The sequence below is a fragment of the Homo sapiens genome, chromosome 10 (assembly GCF_000001405.40).
Source record: "Homo sapiens chromosome 10, GRCh38.p14 Primary Assembly".
Taxonomy (NCBI): Eukaryota; Metazoa; Chordata; class Mammalia; order Primates; family Hominidae; genus Homo; species Homo sapiens.
In genome coordinates, this window is record NC_000010.11 from 95,490,008 (window position 1) to 95,514,408 (window position 24,401).

The window sequence follows — 24,401 nt, forward strand, 5'->3', positions numbered from 1 at the left end:
ATGGGTTGTTCAGCGTCCCTGGCCCATGGTGGTCCTTTCCCTCAATATCTCACCTAAGACCTCCAACATCCACTAGCTGTCATACCTGGAGGCACTCTCACCTCAGCACTGGAACACACTGTTATTAAGGACATATTTTTGCCTCTTTCAACTGTCATAGAGGCAAGACATGTACCTGCTGTGATGAGTAATTAAGTTTCTTTCAAAAAAAGGAAGAACATTTGTTAACTGTGAAATTCTCTGATCTCAAATAAAAATGAAGGTAATTGTGAAATGTCGTTAATTCATCTTTCAAGAAAATGGTAGCTATAGTGGTAGGAAGGGAAAAAAAAAAGAGAGAATGGAAATCTCTTGAAGAACCACTCTGAAAGTCTCAGAAAATAAGTATTTAAAACCCATTATTTCCAACATATCAGTTTCACACTTTAATGTATCTGTTGGCTCAGAAGTGCCCTGCTTGAAAACCCCTATGAGACTGGCAGATGAAGGTGTCTGTGAACATCACAAAAGTCAAGGCAGGAAGCCCCTAACTGGTGGTCAGTTGAATTGGGCTGACTATGGCAGCTACACTGTAACACTTATATCTGGAATTCCAACTTGAAAAAGTGTGTTAATAAAGTTAATAAATGTAGCAGATAGGGGGAGAACTGCCTTGCTCTACATCTCAGAGCCAAACAGTATTACCTTCTATTTGCCCAGGACTTTATTCTCCCTGGGAAAATATAAGCATTCGTGCATACATTACTTCTTGCATGGATTATCTCTTTTAGTCTGCAAAGCAAACATATCCTGTAAACAGCAGGATATGTTTCTCTGTCTGGGGCCTGGGAGGTCAAAGAATTCACCTACAATCCCACAGTAAAAATGGCAGAATCAAGTAAGTACCAAAACCCAGATATGCCTAGGCCCAGCCCAGTATACTTCCTTCTATAATAGAAAGGACAGCATAGTTCTCTGCAAATCGCATTCTACAGTTAACAAAGCATTTCCCTTCACTGAGAAGAAGGAAAAAAACACATATATTCACCAGTGGTTTAAGGTGGTGGGAAGATGCATTGGTCCAGGAGCTCTGGGCAGAAAGCTTTCACGAACTCTTCCAAAGGATGCCAACTCCTGCAATGACAAATGTACAAAACACCTGGTGTGAATCACAGGCACCCTGTGGCCTCTCCCCAACAGGACTCATTTAAACACCATTTGCCAGGCAATTTAGGCATAAACCCCTATCTCTTGTAGCCCGATTTCCTTCCCCACTCTGACTTCCCAAAGTAGAACAAGGATCTTTAATTCACCAGCTGAAATGGTCCCCATTAGAATCACAGGATCTTGGGCAGAAGGCAGCTTTAGAGATCATCTTTAATGGAGATCACAAACTGAAAGCACAAGGGGTGACATCCAACCTGTGGAAGTGTTACATTTCATCTATGGATATGTTTAGAAAATCTGAGCCAAACATAAAAATCAGAGCTATCACACAAAAACCCAGATTTCTGGCTTCTCTTAAAGAAAGAAAAAAAAATCAGACCTGTCAACATGGCCCACATTTATGTCTTAAAATGATCAGGTGGTGCTAAGCATTAAAAGCAGTCACCCTTCATAGGCAGGCTTGGCCGCTCCAATATACCACAGTCCCCACCACTCCCTATTGTCTCCTCCACACAGAGAAGAACTGGGGTTGTCATTAGTCATTGCCCTTGCATTATTTTTTTCTTGCGGTACAGAAATATTTTCTTCTACTTATAATTCTAACACAAGTGGGAAAACAAAAGGGGCCTAGTTCCAAGAAAAAAAAAATGGTAGAGCCCATATAATAACTCAAGTTGGTAGCCTCACTCCTGTAGACATTTGCAACCCCCAAAGAAGTACAACACTCCCACTTTACATGAATTAAATGTAAGCAGGAAACTGACTTGCCCACTCCCATAGTTAGATGCAGAGGTCAATCTAGGTCTCTCGATTGCCTAATCCAGGACTCGTACACTATGCTGGACTACATACTAGTCTTATACTATTAAGCAAAAAAATTAATACAATAAACAAGTACACACACACAATTAACTAATTAAAGATAATTATCAAAAATAATACTTTCAGAGAAGTATTAAAGTCAAGGAAATACAGTTGAAGCACCCCACTTTCCACTAAAATGCTTGCCATACATCAAAAGTGCTCAGTGTCCTAAACGGTCTTGAGTACTCTTTATGCTAGAAAAATCTCCCCTAACATGCATCTTCAATACAAGACTGTAAATAAGTTTATGTACAAGGTAACAGCACTGTAATAAGTAAGCAATGTTCAACAATAAGATCTTGATAGTACTTATTTATATCACTCCCACAAAGAATTTATTGATTCATTCACTTAACAAATATTTATTGAGCCCTATTACACTCCAGGAAGTATGCAAGGTGATGGAGATACAAAAGTGAACAAGACCCTCAAGTTGATCTGAATAAAAGATAGATCCAGACACTCAAAATGAATTATAAAATAATGGGTAATTGTAGTGATCTGCAGTCAAATGCTCTACCCCTGAGCTAAACCCTCTACGGTAAGTGTAGTGATCTGAGTATGCACCTGTGTTATGGGAGCACTGAGCAGGGGCACCTGATGCAGTGGAGGTGAAAAGATACTTCCTAGCATGGACAGAGGCCTCAGGAAATCCTAAAGGTTGGATGGGAGTGGACCAGGCACAGTGAGAAATGGACGACAATGGAGGCAAAAGCAAGGAGATGAGAAGAGCCCCTACAATTTGGTCTTGTCCAGATCTCCTATTAGCTCTGGGTCTTAAAAGCCCCTGCCTGATGCCACGTGACCCAACATCTGCTGGACTTGATCCACAGACCTACATATGCACTTACAGAAGTTTATCTTGACAAGTGTCCATATCAAAAATGTCACTAATTCAGCCCTGCTCCCTGGCAATGCCTACCTACGACTCCCTGGAGTCTGCTGTCCCAGAGTCTGCAGGGCCTAAGAAACACAGTGGTAGAAATACTAAGCCTTCAGGCGCAGTGGCTCACACCTATAATCCCAGCACTTTGGGAGGCCGAGATGGGTGGATCATGAGTTCAGGAGTTTGAGACCCGCCTGACCAACATGGTGAAACCCCATCTCTACTAAAAATAAAAAATTAGCTAAGCATGGTGGCACGCACCTGTAATCCCAGCTACTCAGGAGGCTGAGGCAGGACAATCGCTTGAACCAGGGAAGCAGACTTTGCAGTGAGCCAAGATCACGCCGCTGCACTCCAGCCTGGGCGACAGAGTGAGACTCCGTCTCAAAAAAAAAAAAGAAAAAAGAAATAAAGAAATACTAAGCCTTTCATGATGGACAAAAGACAGTAAATAAAGATGTTTTTCTCATACCAGTCACAAGGCTGCCCTGTCTATCTCCACCCCAGGACCTGGATTTCCGCAGCAAGAAGCTACTATGCATTTGAGCCTCAAGCAGGAAGCCTTGTGAAAAATGTTCCAGAATATCTGCCCATCAAAATCCCCACATGGAGTTCTCCTTTTCTTCATAGATAAGAAAGAAGTGAGTCACCAGCCCTGATCTAGGCTGAGGCAAAGCCGGGGAAAAGCACTCCAAAACACAGGCTGGAAAGCAGCACACAGAGGAGTAAAGACCAAACACGTGGTCAAGGGTAGGGTTCCGGTTCAAGGCCCGTATGAGGAAACAAACAGGCAGAATTCACCTGAAGAATCGGAAGAGCTTCCCTGAATCAGTAACTAGTGGGCAGGTTCCTGAGTATGGCTGAAAATTAGAAACACCTGCAGAACTACAGCAACAAAATAACCCCCTATGTACCACAGCCATTAAATCAAAATCTATGGTTTAGAGGTCCAAGCACTGTCCAGAACCTCCTCACAGGTGATTGCGATGTCCAATATGAAAAGAGTGTATTTCACCCAGAGGTCTCAGAAGCTCCAAAACCTCTTCAAGGACATGAATTCAGCATCCTCCAGGAAAGAGCCAAGGATCCAGATCTTTAGGGGAGTAGCACATCCCTGGTATGTTTACCCACTCTCTGCATCACACTATGACAACCACAACTTCTTTTAAATAAATGTAAAAAAAAAAAAAAAAAAAAAAAAAAGGAATGCCAGCAGCCAGAATAGCAAATGGGTAAGTGAAGTGGCCTTCCTCTTTGCCCCCATCCCTTGTATACCATGGCCCAATGTCAGTGCCTCTTGGTAAACGATTGGGGGTGTCCAATCTCAGCAGCAGATCTGAGCCTTCATACACCTGTGTGGGTTCACTGCTCTGGCAGAAGAAAGGATGTGGGAGCATCCAGTCATTCAGGTGGCCTTCGAGGAATAGCTCCAAGGCACAGAGCACTCTGATCAGGTCCTTCCTGCCCACCAAAGCGCAGGACTCTACCGGTCAATGCAGCGCCTGCAAACCTGCCAAGCCTGGCTGAGCACCTCTCTTTCCAGATCTCCACTTTGTGGTCATGTAACGACCTGAGCAATCTCAAGCTAAGACTGGCAAAGTAAATGCCGTGTACCGCAAAGATGACAGACGGATCGGAGTAAACCGGCTCCCTGAATGCACCAGCCTGCAGAAATCTCTTCCCCCAATATTACAAGGTGCCACTAGGTGACCTTCAGGCAGCCAGCACCAGAGAAACCCACAGCTGACTAAGGTCAGCCTTTCTGATTGCAAGGCCCAGCAGCAATCCATACTATCCTTCCAAGGAACAAGGAAACAGGCAGGTGTCCCCATCAACCTAAGGATCCTCCATGTGAGCCATAATGCAAACTTGGAAGAGCATGGTGGAGGAGGAAGTTTAGGAAAAGCTCAAGATCATAATTTGCCCCCTCTTGGTGGTCCTCAATTTTTATTTTTATTTATTTATTTATTTATTTATTTATTTGTTTATTTATTTATTTTGAGAAGGAGTCTTGCTCTGTCACCCAGGCTGGAGTGCAGTGGCATGATCTCGGCTCACTGCAAGCTCCACCTCCCAGGTTCACGCCATTCTCCTGCCTCAGCCTCCTGAGTAGCTGGGACTACAGGCGCCTGTCGCCATGCCCAGCCAATTTTTTATATTTTTGGTAGAGACGGGGTTTCACCATGTTAGCCAGGATGGTCTCAATCTCCTGATCTCGTAATCCACCCGCCTCGGCCTCCCCAAGTGCTGGGATTACAGGCATGAGCCACCGCACCCGGTGGTGGTCCTCAATTTTTAAAAGATTCACTAATTTTCCCTACAGTACTGTTATATTCTGGCCTAAAACAAGACATTTCTCTGTCCCAACCCCCCAAAAGACTTCACAAGAGTTGTCCCAGGCCCTGCCAAAGACCTCAAACCATCACTCCCTAATTCATCCCCCATCCCAAGAATACAGATCAATACCAACCATTGTGAAAGTCACCTCTGCCACCCTCATTCCTACCAAACATCAATCCAGGCCACCCGACCCACTCTGGACCACTCTGGGCTCTCCTGTTACAAGTTCTCAAAGCCCCATGTATCTCTCCTTCCTAGCATGAATCACTTATATTTTCACATTGTTGTCCCACTAACCTATATATGGACAGGGATCCATATAATCATTTCTGCTTTGCTTTGTTACTGCTGTTGTTTTAAAATTTTAAGGGGTCTTTGTTTGATGGCTCACTGTATCCCAATATAGTACCTTGGAGCCCTCTGGTTTCCTTCAAAATACACCTCAAATTTCATGCCACTCAGCTCAGACTTGGTCCCTCTCTCCTTGTTCCAGATCCAAGGCCCAAGCTGCTTTCCGAGCTCACGACATACTCTCTTCTCCTTCTCCCTCCACAAATTCCAACTCTTCCATCAACAAACACAGGCAGTCCAGGGGAGAAAATGCCCAACTGGCCCTGAGGCTGACCAGTTTGGGAAGGAAACAAATCAGAAGTTATCTATTTCATGTTTGGGCAGTGTTTTTTTGTTTTTGTTTTTTTTGAAACAGAGTCTCACTCTGTCGCCCAGGCTGGAGTGCAATGGCATGATCTTGGCTCAGAGCAACCTCCGCCTTCCAGGTTCAAGCGATCCTCCTGCCTCAGCCTCCTAAGTAGCTGGGACTACAAGCATGCACCACCATGCCCGGCTAATTTTTGTATTTTTAGTAGAGACGGGGTTTCACCATGTTGGCCAGGCTGGTCTCGAACTCTTGACCTCGTGATCCGCCTGCCTCGGCCTCCCAAAGTGCTGGGATTACAAGCGTGAGCCACCGTGCCCCACCATGGGCAGTGTTTTTTTAAATCACACTGCATTATTTTATTTAAGATGAAGTTCTAATATGCAAAATGAATCCCTTTTCTGACTTTGAAAAAGACTTCTCTCTTTTCCATAACAAAACCCACTGGGGCCATAACTGGTGCCAACATCTCTAGGACCTGAACCCCACTGAAGCTTCCTGGGTGCTCAATGATGAGGTCGCTCCCACTTCCCAAACACCTCTTGGCTGTGTTCCCATTGCCCAGCTGTCCTCCTCCTGCATCCATTGGCAAAGGAAGATGAATCCTCAAGAGCTTTTTAAAGCTCTTCCACCTACTCCACTGATTCAGTAGGAGGGAGAATGAATGTTTCCAAGTTCTCTGAATGACACAAAGCTCATAAAGTATAACAAAATTAGTTGAAAATAACAAAATGAGTTTAGCTCTCCCTTCAAAAAAAAGGAAAAAAAGAAAGCATGCCTACTTTCAATGATTCACAATGACTTCACAATTTTTCCTCCACTAGGATATGTATTCTTCCTCCCAAAGCTAATGGTTCTCTCTCCTCCCCTCCCTAAGACAGTGTAGGGCCAGATCTCCAGAAACCTGCTCTATCTGATTTGAGACCCCCTGAAAAAATCTCGACAAAGCCCAGGGTAACCCATGCCAGAGGGTCCTTCCCCAGTCTTTGCATTTGCTGTTCTCTCTGCCTGCAAAGCTCTTTCCCTTTTTCTCACCACGGAAAGAGAGCACTCACTTTTGAGAGCTCAGATCAAATATGCTTTTTCACTGGGGCCAGCCCAGACTCCCTAACCTTACTCTCACCAGCAAAAGCTGCTTTCCTTGTAGACCCTCTCACAATCTGTAATTATCTTATTTATCTGTATTTCCCTTTAGGGGGTAAGAATCTTGCCCAACTTGTTTACTGCGGTACCCCCAGCAACACAACACATAGCAAGTACTCAGTAAAACGTTGCTGAGTGGGTGGGCGGGTAAACAAGGAGGAGGAGGCAGGCCAGTGGGAACAGGGCTGAGAGCCCTTTAAAGATGCCCCATGGCATCTTCATCATGGCATGAAGCGTGGGCAGGACTTCATCATGGCCTCTAGAATGGGTCTCTTGGTTTCTCTTGCCTTGATTCTTCTCAAGTCTGTTGCTACTTAGATACTGGTTCCACCACCATATACCCCTGACTCCACCCCAATTGTTCAGACCTGGGTATTTCCCAGGAAACCCAGTTCCCATGTTTGGCTTCTCTTACTCTGCCTCCATTCAGCCATCCTCAGCTTGAAAAATTCAGACATCCATAGCCGTGTCTGACTTTTTATGACGTCAAGACCCTCAAGAATCTGACCCAAGCCCACCCCTCGAACCATATCTCCAATACCCCACTTCGCCCTCCATCACCACCAATGAGCTCACGGTTCAACTCTCTGGATCCATCATGCCTAAACCTTTGCTCAGGTCTCTACTGCTTAAAACATCTTTCTGCTGCCTCGTTACCTGTTAGCTTCCTTCCACCCCTTAAATCATCCCTCACCATCACCACCACCCCACCCCCAGGCTAGAACTGATACCCTTTCCCTCTGCCCCACAGTCATATTTGCCCTCAACATCTGGAAATTATCTTTAATCTCTTTGTTTCCCCCAAATGACTGCCCCTTGATGGCTGGGACCCATTCAATTCATCCCTGTTGGCCCAGAGCCTGGCACATAGTAGGCACTCAATAAACATACACTGAACTAAACTACCTTGTTTTCTCGGTGACAATTCCCATTTCCAAAGTGACTCTTTGCATAATGTTAATACTCAGTACAAGTAAGAGAAACATTCTGTTATTACGCATGCTTACTTAAGCCAACTGATAAGAAATAGCTGGGGTGGTAGTTTTATCACCATCATCATAAAACTGAAGACCTGAATGCTAACAGGCAGAAAGGTATGGTACAAAGAGTACTGGTTCTGGGTTCAAGTCCAGACTAGGGCAGTTGCCAGCAGCATAATTATGGGCATGTTACCTTCCTTCTCTGGCCCTAAGTTTCTTCCTCTGTAAGATAAAAGGCCCAATCAGACACGAATGGTCACATACTGTATGATTCCATTTACATGAAATGTCCAGAATAGATAAATCCATAGAGACAGAAAGTAGATTGTTTGTTGTCAGGAAAAGGGGGTAGAGGGGAATGGGGTGAAAATGCTAAATGGAGCTTCTTTTTGGGGTGACAAAAATGTTCTGGAATTAGTAGTGATGGTTGCAAACCTTTGTGAATATACTTAAAAAAACTGTCTACTTAAATGGTTAAAACAATGAATTTTGTGTCATGTGAAATTTATCTGAATAAAAGAAAGAAAGAAAGGGCTAGACTAGAACAGAGGTTGAAAATTGGAGGTCAACGGGCCACACCAGGCCTATGGCATGTTCTTTAGACCTAAACAAAGTTTTCAATGTTATATTTGCACAAACAATTCAAAAGCCAAAGATTTTCTTTTTAATTATTTTTTTTTATAGCGATGAGGTCTCATTATGTTGCCCAGGCTGGTTTCAAGCTCCTAGGCTCAAGCGATCCTCCTGCCTCAGCCTCCCAAAGTGCTGAGATTACAGGCATGAGCCATAGCGCCCAGCCTCAAAGGTTTTCTTGATTATGGTGGTCATTATACAAATCTGCACAGGACTACATACACATGTGCACACACACAAATGAGTACATATAACACAAATGATATCTGAATAAGACTGTAGCATTGTCAATTTCCTGGTTTTGATGTCATACTATACCTACATAAAATATTAACACTGGGGAAGTGGGGTGAAGGGCACACAGGATCCCTCTGTACCATTTGTTGCCACTTCCTGTGAGTCTATAATGTTTTTTTTTTTTTTTTTTTTTTTTTTTTTTAGACGGAGTCTGGCTCTGTCGCCCAGGCTAGAGCACAGTGCCATAATCTTGGCTCACTGCAACCTCCACCTCCTGGGTTCAAGTGATTCTCCTGCCTCGGCCTCCCCTAGCTGGGATTACAGGCGTCCACCACCACGCCCAGCCAATTTTTGTATTTTTAGTAGAGATACATTTTCACCATGTTGGCTAGGCTGGTCTCGAACTTCTGACCTCAAGCGATCTGCCAGCTTCAGCCCCCAAAGTGCTGGGATTACAGGCACGAGCCACCATGCCCGGCCTTGTAATGATTTTTAAATTACAATAACATTTATAAAGCCAAACATTTTATAATTTCAAAATGTGGCTTCTCTTTAAAAATAACAGGATCTGGCAACACAGGGCCTCAAGGATAACAACTGGATGGAGCCGGGTAGTAGCTGCTGCCCTGTAAATGGCCAAGGCTCTCCGATTCATCTCCCTAACGCCAAAGCTGAGTGTTGGCTGCCATTGATCCCAGTTGCATGCACTGGTTTTTCTCTTACAAAAGATAAATATTTATCTATCAAAAACAGGAAAATGAAAGGTCAAGAGTCTTATGTTTCCAGAAAAAAGGAAGACCACAACATTTTTGTGAGTGCGGAGAACATTCCTAACAGTTTGGTCTTCAATCTCTTACCCTTCATCTCGTGCTACCTGCCTGACCTCTGAAGCATTTGAGGTTTAGACTCCCAGACTCTCTTTTGGACCAAATTTCTTACTATGTCAGCAAATAAACTTTAAAATCAAACCACTGGAAAAGAACACAGCTTAAGTACACAACATCTCATTCTCCCCTAAGTATGTTGGTTCTTTCATCTCACCTTTCCTGAGAACACAGGATCCCGCTCTCAGCCATCAAAAGGAAAGGTTCCACCCCTTATGCAAGATCACAACCAGAAAAATAAGCGGGATTTCTTTTCTCCACTGAAACTATAGTTCTATTTAGTAAGGCAGGGAAAAGACCCTTAGGGTGTGCGTTCCCCCACCTTTCTTACCACCCCACCACCCCACCCACTCCCGGAGAACGTGCTTGGAATGCAACTGTCCCTGAAAAGGGGGCGGGCATAGTCACAGACAACCCAAGTAAATTGCCAGTGAATGTTTTTAGCATAGCCATTTCCAACCAGGTTACACAAAAAGATCACCTGGGGCTCCAGCCTGATGGAGGAATTTTAATATCCTCTCCTCAGGTGACACCCATGCAGTCTGCCCAGCATGAATCCATCCTGGGGTGCCTGGAAATCAGTGATCTAGAAAACTCTGACCCCTGGCTACCTGGACAGCAGGGTAGGACATACGTCTCCAGCCACTAGCCACAGGTGGCAACTGAGCCCTTGAAATATGGTTAGTGTGACTTGAGATGTGCTGTAAGAGTCATGTACACATTGGATTTTGAAGACTCAGAATTTTAAAAAAGAATGTAAAATATCTGAGAGTTTTTTTATGCAATTACATATGGAAATGATAATATTTTGGATATACTGGGTTAGAAAAAAAGTGTTGTTAAAATTAATTTTGTCTGTTTCTACTTTTTTAACGTGGCTACTAGAAAGTCTTAAATTACCTTTGTAGCTCATATCATATTTCTACTGCACAGCCAGACTCAAGGAGACACTCATCATTCTAGAGTGGGGATTACAGTCATAACTAAAAACGCAAGAAGGCTGGCCATGCTGGTTTCCACCTGCCAACTCTATGATGTTAAACGAGTTCTCAATCTCTGATGTTCAGTTTCCTCCCCTGTACACAGGCATAACATCCACACCCTGGGCTGCTGCTGAGCGCACATAAAAGAAGAGAGCTGGAAGCACTAACCACGCATCTTCTCCCAGCTGGTACTCAACACCTGCACACTGCCGGCCCTTCTTCCTTCCCCGCCTTCCTTAAGGACACAAAATTTGAGTCTAGATCATCTGGCTTCAAATTTACTAACCACAACGTCCAGTTCTGCACAGTGGCAGCAAGTAGGACAGTGGTTCTCCATCTACAGGGTAAAAGGAATCACCTGGGAAGCCCAAATCTCCCAGAGATTCAGACTCTGTCCACCTGGTATGGGTCCAGGTATACACATTTCCCACAAGCATCTCAGAACATCCTGATGCCTGGGGTCTAGAAGTCACTTTGAGAAACACTGACACAGCTGAGAAATTGTGACCAATATCGGCAAGACTCCCTGGGGACCTCCCCAGCCAGTCAGAAAGACCAGCCTCAACAAGGCAGGTGTGACCCACCTGTTGAGACACCAGGAACTGGTCACAGGCCTTTTCCCAGCAAATGGCTGCTTTCCTGAGATCTTTCAAACCTAGGCAGGGAATCACCATCTGCCCTGGGCACTGCTTCAAACATCAGAAGGCAGCTGATATTTTCTGCCCTCACACAAGGCCCCTTAAGGTAGTCAAAAAATATGGACAATTTCAAGGTAACCAACAGCTTGGCCACTGGGCTAAAAAGACCTTGCTGAAGCCAGGCATGGTGGTGTGGGTCTGTAGTCCCAGCTCCTCGGGAGGCTGAGGCAGGAGAATGGCTTGAGGCCAAGAGTTCAAGGCTGCAATGTGCTATGATCGCACCTGTGAACAGCCACTGCACTCCAGCCTGGGCAGTATTGCATGACCCTGTCTCTAAAAAAATAAACAAATAATAAGTAAATAAGACTGCGATGCTTATTTACTTACCAGCAGTACCAGGCGGGTCTTTTTTTCTGCCTTTGACTGGTACTCTTGCCTGAACATTCTGAGTGTCAGTCTTCTGGATGTTACTCTTCCGCAGAAGCATTGCTCTGCCCTTCTAGGAGCCGACAGGAAGAAGCTCCATGCACAGACCTGCAAGTCCCAGCAGGCTGTTTGTTCTGGGGCCTTTAGCCACTCAAAGAAGTCATCTCACTGAACGTGAATGTTGGACAGGCAGCTCACACAGATCGATTCGACTCCAGGAGGCACAGACAGAAGAAAGCACTCTCTTTATCTAAGCCAAACAGTCACTGCTCCTTCCCTTGGTTTAAAAATCCTCTCTGTGCTAAACCACCTCCACCTCAAAGCAGTACAAAAGAGCAATTTCTTGGAGAACAAAAATTAAAATATCCTTCCCCAATAATATTTCTGTCAGTAAAATGTGGCCTAGAAACTCAACCTCTTCTTCCTTCTCAACGCAAATTTCCTTTCTATTTATGGAAAAAATACAGTCTGAATGAATTGCCACATTTCCCCACTAAATTCAAACTGCCTCAAATTATTTTTGAAGATAGGGTATGAAGTAAATAAGCACTGAATCTGAGAACTCTGACATATTTCTTTATTTTTAACACAGGAAAATGATCTGGGATTTGTGCAGAATGAAGTAACACCAAGCACATGCTGACTCCAGCAGATCAGCCCCAGGCCCCCTGCCACAGAGCATTTCCCCCATCACTCACCTTCCAGAGTGTGCTTCTCACATTCTACTGCCTCACCATCCTCTGTTCTATGCCCCAGATAGAACAGACCAGTGTCGCCTGAACATTACTGGGTCTCCATGTAGCCCAGTGTCCACTTGGTGGCCATACAAGCAAGCAATCCAACTCAAACATAATAAAAATTAACTTAAAATGTTAGGGGATCTCTTGTGGAGCACCAAAAGGAGGGAATTAAATTATTAATGCACAGGAAAGTATCTTCAAAATCCCAATGCACAGGAAAGTATCTTCAAAATCCTTTCTCCTTCTCTACCACTTGATATCCTAAACACAGACAGCTCCTCTGGAAACTTCCTTTTACTTTTCATCTCCTGTGCTGATAAACACTTCTTGCCTCTCCCTCCTCCTCTCCTTTGGCCTCCATTCTCTCTTCTCACCTACAAGTATTGGCCCTTTCAGATGCCAGTAGGTGCTTACACACATACACATACACACACAAACACACACACACACACAAACACTCTGACCATCCCTACTTCCTAGTTCTCTAATTCAGCCTCTACTCATTGCCCTGACTCCATATGAAAAAGGCCCAGGCACTAAACTAACCAAGAGAAACTTCTCCTTAGAAGGTAGTGTTACTAGGAAAGTTGAGTAATAGACAATAGAATTCTCTTTTGCAGAGAGAAGAGGAGAAAGTCCATGAACACTCACAGTGGCATGTGGCAAGAGGTGGTGGATGCTGGAAGCTAATGCCTAGTAGTGCTAAATGTCACCACTCAGATCAGCTGGGCCCAGCTTCAGAAAAGATGCTCTTTATATCCAAGTTAAACCTCTGCTGCAGACAGAACCCCAGCACAGCCATTAATAAACCACACCACCCTACCTCCAAAAGTTTCTCAACACACTGCCTGGCTATATCCATCTCTACATTACCTGGGATAACGCAGTAAATAGAGAGGGGTATTTCCCAGGTCTCTGTCTATAGCAGAGATTCATCTTGGTGCTGGGAGAAGTTAACAATTACCTGAATATGAGGAACTGTGGGCCTAGCACCATGAAGAACTTCTAAAATAGCTCTGCTTGTACAAATAGTTCGTTCTGTCACTCTCCATGCACTGAGGAAGTTTGGGAGGCAGTGAGGACTAAAACAGAGAAACTATGATGAATATGACCCAGCCTCTACTCCCATGGATTAGCTGTGTGGCCTTGGGCAAGTTTCTGAACCTCTCTGAGCCTATTTCCATTTCTGCACAATGGCATGGCTGGCCATAGGTGATCAAGTTCCTTTCCAGCACTGCCGTTTCACAGCTCTGTGATTTTAAGGATACCTGCCATGGGGGTCATGGCCAAATGGGTGGGAAGAAGGGCAGACAGAAGAGGGAGTACAGCTATTACAAAATCTTAATTATTACTGATCACGGATTGGAGCTCTAAGAAAACATTCACTGCAACTCCAAAAACTGCAGGTGTCAAGTGTGGTCAGCAGTCACAGGCCAGTTTCTGGGACCCCTAATCTTAATAACAGAAAGACGTGCACACTATAGCAGGCCATTCACTTATGGGCCACAGAAAGACAAATTAAGGGCAGTGACTTCCTCTCACTGTAGCAAGACCCTCCCAATCCTAGTGAAGTCCAGAGTTCATTCTCCCTGGTCTGCAGATGAGCGCACAGGGTCTGAATGACTCCCCAAGTCACAGTTTGGTGGTAGCAAAACCAAGAGAGAAGCCCAGATTGTCTGTCTTCCCAGCTCACATTAAATGCCAATTAGATAACTGTGTGGGATCACTGCAAAGCATAGACACTTAGAAACCCACACACAGACTCACCTAATTGGTGCAAGAGGACGGGGGAGGACTCTGCAAAAGGGGAGCCAAGAGCAGCCTTTCCCTTCCTTTACCACCCTGACAAGCAGGTTGGTCACCAGCCCTGGGGGTTAGTATCCACCCGCTACCCTGTTACATGTGCAGACATCTGTCTTCAAGTGATTGCAGTTGGTGGCTCATAATCTAGAGCTGAAGATCTTAACCTGAGTGCCAACTAAAACTATATGCAAAGACTCCACCACTTTTTATACGTGTATCCCCGGACAAATCTTTTAACATCTCAGTGGCTCAGTGTTCCCATCTGCAGAACAGAGATAACAGTGCCTACACCTCACAGGGTTGTGATGAGCATCAAGAGTAATACACCTACGTGCTTAGCACAATGTCTACAACATAAATGTTAGTTATTATCATATAATTTTTCTGGAAAAAGTGTCCAAAGCTTTCATCAGAGTCTCAAAGGGGTCCATGTTCCAATAAAAACTAAGAACTCTTGTTCTACACCCTATCCTTGGAATGGAACTGAGGTCATCCTCTAAGAAGAGAAGTGTCCCCTCTAGCTTCCTTACCTGTCCAGATGAAAGGGATGGGAGGCTTTCTATGCCCCACTACTCCTGGAGGGCTGGGGAGAGTGAGGAGATGAAAAGTAAAAGGGAGTTTCTAGAGGAGCAGCTGCCGTCGTGTACAGGATACCAAGTGGTAGAGAAGGAGAAAGGATTTTAAAGTTATTTTCCTAGGCATTAATAATTTAATTCCCTCCCTTTGGTGTTCAACAAGAGATCCACTAATATTTTAAATTAATTTTTATTATGTTTGAGTTGGATTGCTTCCTTGTATGGTTACCATTCTTTGTTTTCACAGTTCCTCAGCAGGAGGTTCAGAAAAGGTGACCAGAAAACTGGAATGCAGGGCTGGGAAACGGTGCCAGAAGCTCCTCCTCCCACGTTCTGCGGGACTCCGTGGGAGTGGGCTTATTCCCATACGTGGATGCTGGAGTTGGGGGATTTGGCTCTCTCCTTTCTCATTTAGATTAGGACCAAAAAGGGTTGGAGGAGACATTTCCCAGCCACAGAAATGCCTATTTCTTGCCTCCAGTGTCAGAAGGAATACAGGGATCCTGGGTCCAAAACACAGAAGAGCTCTAACTGCAGAGCCTCAGCCTTGGGTCCACAGCCAGAAAATTCCACTCAGGTAGAAATGAATGTGGAGGACATAGATGAATGTCTAACATAAGAGTCAATTCAAATACCACACATCTTTACTCTCAGCTGGAACAGTATCAACTCCATTAAGACTCGGGTAACTCTAATAGGCAGTTAAGTCTATCTTCAATTGATCAAGAGTGGGGAAATATATTATTACTTAATAAACATGGTGTTGGGTTTGATGAAATTTTTCAGAGCAAGGGGTATTTAGAAGAAAAATAAATAAGTATAAAAACAAAAGAGGGCGTCTCTGATGACAAAAAGGCTGGGAACAACAGTTCCCATGGCAGCCCTGGCTCCTGACGTCCCTAAGCTCCAATCTGTCATCCCTCCTGTATTCTCTACCTTGTTATCCCATCGGCAGACTGAGAATGAATTCCAAAGCAACCATGCTTTTTTACAAATCATTTTCTCTAATATAAAAGTAATACATGTTAATCATAGAAAGCTGAGAAAACAAAGGAAGTCTCAAAGAAAACACAAGAATCTGTCCACCAATGTTAACATGTTGATTTATTGCTGCCAATCTCTCTCTCTCTCTGTCTCTTTTTCTTGGTTTAAAGCAAATTATTTTTATCTTTATTTAAAGACTTAATATCACACTAAATTTCCTAAGATAGCAAGCATCTCTGAAGATTCAGTAAAAGCAGAAAGTCCAGAAAAGCTTAAAACTTGTTGGCAAAATGAAGAAGTACAAATGTGAGTGTGTATGTGCACATGTGCACACACATACACACACACACACACATACAAATGCAGGTCTTGCCTCTCAGAGGCCTCTTAAACTCTCACAACACAGGATGGTCACTGGCCACCCCTGAACTAAGAAGTTTAAACTTAGAGGATCAAAAAAGAACTCCACCCACTAAAACAATGCTCTTTAAGTATCAAAAAGCCTAGCATTTCCAACAAGTATTTTTTAAAACCTAAAACCTATTATGTGTACCTTGGCACCAATCTGGGTCGGTTCCTGGTGGGGTTCCAGGATAGAATTTCAAAAGATGCTGTAATTATTCCTCATGTCACTGATACCATTCTATCAGACTCAAATAAATCAAAATCATAGTAAGAAAAACAAAACTGAACCTCTGGCAATACACTCAGTACTTAGAAAACAAGAGTTTTCTTAAATACTGAGAAAACCAGCTCCTTTTACGGTTGCTTCATAAAACCATTTCTAATGAGACTTATGCCAGAGCTATGGGAAGAATAATTTGCTGACCAGTTTCAACAAACTGCACCCAAGTGATTTTTCCAAAGAGAAAGCGTTTGAGGGCGAAGGTAAGAGAAATCCTAGGGCAGGTGGGAGAACGTGTAACAGCTGCATGGTTTTTTTGTTGTTGTTTTGAGATGGAGTCTCCCTCTGTCGCCCAGGCTGGAGTGCAATGGCATGATCTTGGCTCACTGCAACCTCCACCTCCCGGGTTCAAGCGATTCTCCTGCCTCAGCCTCCCAAGTAGCTCGGATTACAGGCACACACCACCAGGCCCAGCTAATTTTTATATTTTTAGTAGAGACGGGGTTTCACCATGTTGGCCAGGCTGGTCTCGAACTCCTGACCTCAGGTGATCTGCCCACCTCAGCCTCCCAAAGAACTGGGATTACAGGCGTGAGCCACTGCTCCCCGCCAACAGCTGCGTGTTAGACTCATCTTTATCAAGACTCAAATACAGTTAGAAGATACTTGTTCTGGTATTTACAAAACTGGTCCTCCTCCCTAACCATATCTAGTCACAGGTGGGTGAGGACTTGGGAAGGAATACAGGCACTTAGAGGTGAGGGATGGGTAGGCCCTGGGATTACAGAGCCGCCACCACTCAGAAAGCCTGTTCTTAACCATTCTGCTATCCCTTCATCAAAAAGAGCCTGATCTTCCCTTGCACAAAACACGATATTTTCCTCCTGGAAGATATCAATTAATAAAATGTATAAGTAATTTAATCTTCAACTTCAGAATTTCATTTTTAAAGGTATCAGAGTTAGCTCTCAATATCTTTCTTCTCTCAAAAAAACAGAATTTTAAAACTAAACACACACACATGATCACATAGAGGGAGATATGTGAAAAACAAAACGGGACACATAGAAATTAAAGGGCAGCCAGGCACGGTGGCTCACGCCTGTAATTGCAGCACTTTGGGAGGTCAAGGAGGGCGGATCACCTGAGATCAGAAGTTCGAGCAGCCTGGCCAACATGGCGAAACCCCATCTCTACTAAAAATACAAAAATTAGCTAGGTGTGGTGGCACATGCCTGTAATCCCAGCTACTCGGGAGGCTGAGGTAGAAGAATCACTTGAGTCAAGGAGGCAGAGGTTGCAATGAGCCAAGATCATACCACTGCACTCCAGCCTGGGTGACAGAGCGAGACTCTATCAAAAAAAAAAAAAAAAAAGGAAAGCGAAAGGAAGAAATTAAAGGGCATCTAAGCCAAAAGAGTAGTGGCCCAGACTTTTTTTTTTTTTTTTTTTTTTGAGACAGAGTCACACCCTGTCGCCCAGGCTGGAGTGCAGTGGCATGATCACAGCTCACTGCAGCCTCAAACTTCTGGGTGCAACACCACGCCCAGCTAATTTTTTTAGTATTTTGTAGAGATGGGATCTCAACATTTTGCCCAAGCTGGTCTTGAACTCCTGGGCTCAAGCAATCCTCATACCTCAGCCTCCCAAAGTGCTGAGATTACAGGTGTGAGCCGGCACACCCAGCCCAGACTATTCAGACATGTAAATATTTGACACTTTTGTGGAATAAAGGCTGAATATGGTATTTTTCTACACTGATTAAATCTCCAGGAAACTGCTTCCTAAAAAAGGTCACTGCAATGTTCTCGACTAATGGAGTATATGATGCTGAAAGTTCAAGTCAGACTCATCTAAGCCATAAAAGCCTATCAATAACATTTCTTGCATTTGTATAGTGCCATTACTTTTTTCAAAATGCATCTATTACCTCATTTTATACCACTTATGTCAGAACAAAAGGAAGAGTAATGTGTTGACTGGTTGGACAAACTGTACCGTCAAGAATGCTCCTATCCTCTGAAATGGATGAAAGTTCCAGACACGAATGTCAGATCAGCGGGAAAGAGCTTTCCAATGAGAAGAGCTATCCAACAATGGAAAGAGTGGCTCCTAGAGAGTGAGTTCCTCATTGCCAGAGGTACACAAGTAGAACTGTTAAAACCGTGTGGCTTCCAACTGCTCTAATAACTTTAAGATTCACAGTCTTCAACTTTCTTACAGTGGAAGCCATGGGGGCATTGTCCTGTTGCCTTCTCTCTCATTCCTCATTAATGAGAAAGATGTTAAGCTCACTGACGTAAGTCCCAGTGAAGTCTTCTCCAGAACTCAGAAGGGCCATAAATAGAGAGACAAAGGGCAGGAGGTGGGAGTTATTCACCAGCGTGGAGGAAGCAGGATAAGCCCAGAGGAATGGCCTCTGGAATTATACAAAGAATTTGGAGGTGACTGGGGGTGGCCCTGGGAACAAAGTGAAACTGTCAGAACTCAGATAACAGTCCACGTTCCTGAGATTGGATTGTAGCAGCCCTTCTGGAAAAGGAGCACTTCTTGGGACTTTATACAAATCCAGCTGGGTCCCCCACACACTGCCTCACAAACCCTGTACATCACCAAATATGAACAGAAGCCGTCTTTTGAGAGTTTCCTGAAACTGAGAGCTCAAGGAAGGTACCTTCTAGGACCGCCCCCTTGCCCCAAGTTTTCCAGAGGCCAGCAAACAATGAACTAGGGTTGTATATTTTCTCTACACTCTTACTTTTATGACCAAAGCAAAGGATAAAATAATTGGTAATCTGTAATTTGGTCCAAAAAACAACCTCCAGGAGATGCCTTAAATTCAATCCAGATTCTGACAATCCCCTGGTTTTATTTGGTCTACAGAGCTCATAGCAACACATGGCCCAGTTCAAGCCAATAACTTAGAGTTTTGGAGCAGACTTTAAAAGTCTTATTGGCAAAATCACAAAAGGCCAAAGAATGCACATATTATTCCAAATAAGGAAACCTTGTCCCTCTCGGATAAGGCCTGACACCCAAGATTTTCAGAGAAGACAGGATTTTTCTTCCTCAAAAAAAAAGAAGAAAAAAAAAAAAAAAACAAGGATGAGAAGGGAAAGGAAAAGAGAACCAAATCTTCATCTTACATGGTGATAAGTTAACAGATGATGTCCAAAAGGTAGTAAAACATACAGGTTACTATCAAATGTGGAAGTAAATATCAAAAGAATCAGCTAAGATTTTAAAGTGGCTGCCACCGGGGCAGCAGGGGGCTAACGGTGACGGTGTCGGAGACTGCAGTCATGTAGAAATATTGGATTCTTGAAACTCTATGCCTGTGTAACTCTGGTAAAAATTACAAATTTTAAAAGCTAGAAGAAAGCAGGGGAAGGGCTAATATACACTAAATGCATGCATTTCCAAACTTAAGCTATAAAAAGTAAATAACACTTTAGGTAAATAATAATACTGTATTTAAATATTGTTTATCCATATGTTTCAACCAGAGCACTATATCTTAATAACTCCTTTTCTGATTAAAGTAATACTGTTCACTGTTTTTAAAAAGATAGAAAATAACTCACCCTTCCCCCCACCAAAAAAAGAAAAAATAGTCATAAAATTACCACCCAGAAAAAAACTGCTGGATGATATGAAAGTATTTCCTTTTCTCTTTTTATGTATGCATATATGTATATTCGTGTATCAATACAGACAATTTTCTTTAACTCTTTGGGCTCATCTAAAGACAATAAGGTTTTTGTCTGGGGGAGAAAAAGCTTTTTTTTTTTTGAGACAGATTCTCACTCTCCCTCCCAGGCTAGAGTGCAGTGGTGCAATCTCAGTTCACTGCAACCTCCACCTCCCAGGTTCAAGTGATTCTCCTGCCTCAGCCTCCAAAGTAGCTGGGATAACAGGCACCTGCCACCATGCCCAGCTAATTTTTGTATTTTTAGTAGAGACAGGATTTCACCATGTTGGCCAGGCTGGTCTTGAAGTCCTGAGAAAAAGCATTTTATTTTGAAGATTATTAAATAAATAGGGTCTTTGCTTCTTACAGTACCATCAGTCAGTATCAAGCGTTCATTCTAAAAGGACAGGTAGGTATGTCAGGTTGTCAAAAGTTTTTGGAAAGTGAAGGTATTACCAGGCATGGTGGCTCACACCTATAGTCTCAGCTACTGGGGAGGATCACTTGAGCCTAGGAATTTGAGACCAGCCTGGACAACACAGTGAGACTCTGTCAAAAATTTTTAAAGTGGAAAAAAAATGAAAGCGAAGATGTAATTTTTCAGAATTTCTGGACATAAATTACAGCATTAAGAGAAGATCCTTACTACAAACTGGTTCCACCTCAAATTGTGCTGTTTTCTAACTCTGCTCACAAGCCTGCTCATGCACATTTATCTCGTTCCATGCAAGCCTGTCTTTGCTTTCTCCTTCTCCCTACAACCCTACTTGTCACTAGCTTTCCTCTCCACCCCAACTTCCTGTTTTATTCCGCTCTCACACCTGTATCTTTTCTGTGCCACCTGTAACCTGATGCAATGTGGAACTAAGATCACATTCTTATTACTCCACATTTGCAGAATCGAATTAAGTGCTCCTTATTTTTAAGTTATAAACTGAAATACAAAGCCTTCTGTTTATAACTTTTCTTTTTCTTTTCCTGAGCAACAGGATCTCATGCTGTTGCTCAGGCTGAAGTGCAGCGGTAAGATCATGATTTGCTGCAGCCTCAACACCCCAGGCTCAAGGGATGCTCCATGCTCCCACCTCAGCCTCCCAAGTAACTCCAACTACAGGCATGCACCACTACACCCAGCTAATTCTACTTTTATTTTTGCAGAGATGGGGGTCATACTATGTTGCCCAAGCTGGTCTCGAACTCCTGGCCTTAATCGATCCTCCCATCTTGGCTTCCCAAAGTGCAGGAATTACAGGCATGAGTCACCACGCCCAGCCTGTTGATACGTCTGTCTCCTAAAGCCTATGTTGCTGCCTTGTTTCTTGCTTGTTTTTGTCGTTGTCGTTTCTCAACATCAAAGGCAGTTGCAGCCTTTGGGACTGAGTTGGAAACTCTCAGAAATGAGAAAAGCCCTAGCTCCTGCCTGGAGAAGCCAGTATAGACATGGAAGAGGCCTTGCATCAGGGAGAGGGTAGTTTTCTAGAGGAGAGACGGCTAGTAGGAAGAGGGCTAGTGTCAGAGCCAACTTACTCTGCTCCTGAGGTACCAGCCCAGCATCACCCCATTCAGGAGAGTCAACTGCCCCAGAAGACAAACCCAAAGCTATCAGAGCATGCTGCTAAAGAACCACCTCTTCCTCCAGCCCTCTAAGAAGGGCCTTCTCCTTTTTCTGGTCATCCAAAATGGGTCTTTCTTCACAAGGGCTTCTTTAAAAATCAGGTCACCCCCATCCTACACATACAGGATTTTTTTGTAACCTAGATGCTAGACACATGTTAAAAGAGCTGTTAGGTGCTGATCACTCTTTGAAGTGTAAGCTCTCTCTCCCAGCTCTGAGAGATCTGCCCACTTCACAGGGCTGCCCTCCAGAGCTCCAGCGTCTGATCAAAAATGACCACAGCCAGGCGTGGTGGCTCACGCTCGTAATCGCAGCACTTTAGGAGGCCAAAGCAGGCAGATTACTTGAGATCAGGAGTTCGAGACCAGCCTGGCCAACAGAGCAAAACCCCATCTCTACTAAAAGTACAAAAATTAGCCAGGCATGGTGGCGCATACATGTAGTCCCAGCTACTTGGGAGGCTGAAGGCCCAAGAATTGCTTGAACCCAGGAGGCGGAAGTTGCAGTGAGCCGACATTGTACCACTGCTCTCCAGCCTGGGCAACCAACCGAGACTGTCTCAAAAAAAAAAAAAAAAAAAAAAAAGACCAGGACAGGTCCAGGCAGGTCCAGGCACAATTCTAAGTACCATAAGAAGCTTTCTGAATCGAGGATGTAAATCTGATCTAATAATTCAGCCAACACTGCATCTACCTGTAGCCTTATCATCCAGCCCCCACATCCAATTTCAGCCACAGGTTCCTGGTTAGATGCTTTTCCGGTTAGATGCTCCCCTGAAATCAGCCCACCTGCTACTGTATCTGCAGCACATCCCTGAGTCCATGTCAAAAACAGAATCCGAGCCCTTTGACATGGCTCACGCTCCAGGAAATTAGACTGGAGTACACAGCTGTATTCTTCTTGGTAACTATTTCCAAGCCATCTACTTATGAAGATACATGGGAAAAAAAAAAAAAGGAAGACAAGGAGTGCCAAAAAGGCAGTTCAGCTTTCTCTAAAAGAAACTCAGGCAAATAGCTCCTGTTCGGGGAAACCAGTAAATTTCCAAACAGTAAGATTTCCACAAATGATATTGGCAACTTCGGGGGTCAGGGCGAAGTAGTGGACCAGTTCTCATCGAAGAGCAGCAAGATGAGACAAGTTTCACACAGTGGCAAATGTTCCTTTTGGACTTGCTTCAAACCTGTGTGTGGGCTGATTCTCCGAAATAAACAAATTCTCTTGTATAAGGTTATGCGGTGACTGAGAGGGTGAGGATTCTGATGGAAAGAAATCACCCATAAGTCACCTTTGCCTAAGCAGGAGGGTCAGTTCTGCCTGCCCTGGGTCTTGACGCAGTGAAACCTCAACAGGGATGTGGGGCGCATGTAACCCAGATGGACGGGTATACGCTACCGTTAAGTTCAACTGCACCCTTGACTGGTATGGCATTTCAGAGCATTGAGACACCTTTCGATCCAGCAAAGAGCCAATCCTGGCTCCAATCAGCACCCATGAGCCGCTGAGGGAGGCACAATGTCCCAAGCAGCAGTTGGCCAAACACACGTGAGGGAGGTGCAGCTGCCGAGCCCTTCATGTTTACCAGGAAGAAAGAGTGTTGATTTTGCAGATTTTTGATAATGTTTTCACAGCCAGTGTTATTCCCAACCCATTTTTAAATGCAATCTGAACAACACCCCTTTCCACACTGGATTCCTTGTACTTAAATGGTTCCAGCTACCTCAGGCCTGAGAAACCTATTTCTCTCTATAGACCACACATCAGTTTGGCTGAGGGAAGAACAGAGGGAAAGCAGGATTGCAAGGATGGCAGGTGCAGGGCTGAAAGAAGAAAATTAAATTCACCAGACATGGGACACCTGGGCTGAGGACCTTTACACCAAGGAGCTTAAGATCTCCCTTGGCCACATGGGACCATCTAGAAAGGACTCTTTTAAGTCTAACCATCTTTGGGTCTGTGGTTGTACTGTATTGATTCCATGTTCTCATTTTAAGTGAGCTAACGAAATGCAGCAAGCCATGAAAATTTAAAAGGACTAGAATGAATTGAGAAGTTATTTAGACTGAGAGCAAAGAACAGGCAAAGCAAGTGGCAATCTTGTTGGATAGATCTGGCATGCTACCACACAAGCAACCCAGGCTAGAAAGAGCCATTGACAAAATGCTGACAGTCTGCCCAGGCCCTTTTGAATATTGGGTTCTTGGATTATTTCCTAATTTTTTTTTTTTACACAATCTTGAACATTGACTATTATGTAGAAAAAAAGAAACATCTGAGGGGAAAAAATACATCCTCGGGAGACACAGGAAGAATGCCGTTTGAAGTAAGAATCTTTTTTCTCTCTGTCTCTGACACACACAAACTCATACACACACATTCAACTAGCCTTATGAGTCATCTTCTGCCATGACTGATGCCAGCTAACTCTGTCCTGCCAGCAACCTCTGCCACCCACTGATGCAGTGGAACAGTGTTTGACCAGCTCCCTTCCTGATGCTGGTTTATTTCTGGCTAAAACCTCTGGTTTCACTTAGGACCCAGACTTGTCTGGGG

The 24,401-nt window shown here is 44.0% G+C and overlaps 1 protein-coding gene across 76 annotated transcripts in view, besides 1 other annotated feature; it reads right to left on the minus strand.

Moving 5' to 3' along the window:
- Positions 1–24,401, minus strand: part of SORBS1 (sorbin and SH3 domain containing 1) — a 249,599-nt gene that overhangs the window by 178,235 nt on the left and 46,963 nt on the right. For 71 of the 76 annotated variants that reach the window (NM_006434.4, NM_001034957.3, XM_017015539.2 and 68 more), the window contains exon 2: positions 1,028–1,113. The exons of 1 other annotated variant lie outside the window; for it this stretch is intronic. The gene's annotated coding sequence lies outside the window, so the exon portion shown is untranslated. Of the gene's footprint in view, positions 1–1,027; positions 1,114–3,157; positions 3,280–11,776; positions 12,028–24,401 lie in introns of all 76 variants that reach the window. 4 more of the 76 variants (NM_001384457.1, NM_001384454.1, NM_001384463.1 and 1 more) reach the window with 2 other exon arrangements.
- Positions 17,952–19,578: an enhancer, noted in NCBI's record as "VISTA enhancer hs2353". NCBI's record gives its function as "enhancer in: heart[4/6]" and the evidence as "EXISTENCE:transgenic organism evidence [ECO:0001131][PMID:17130149]".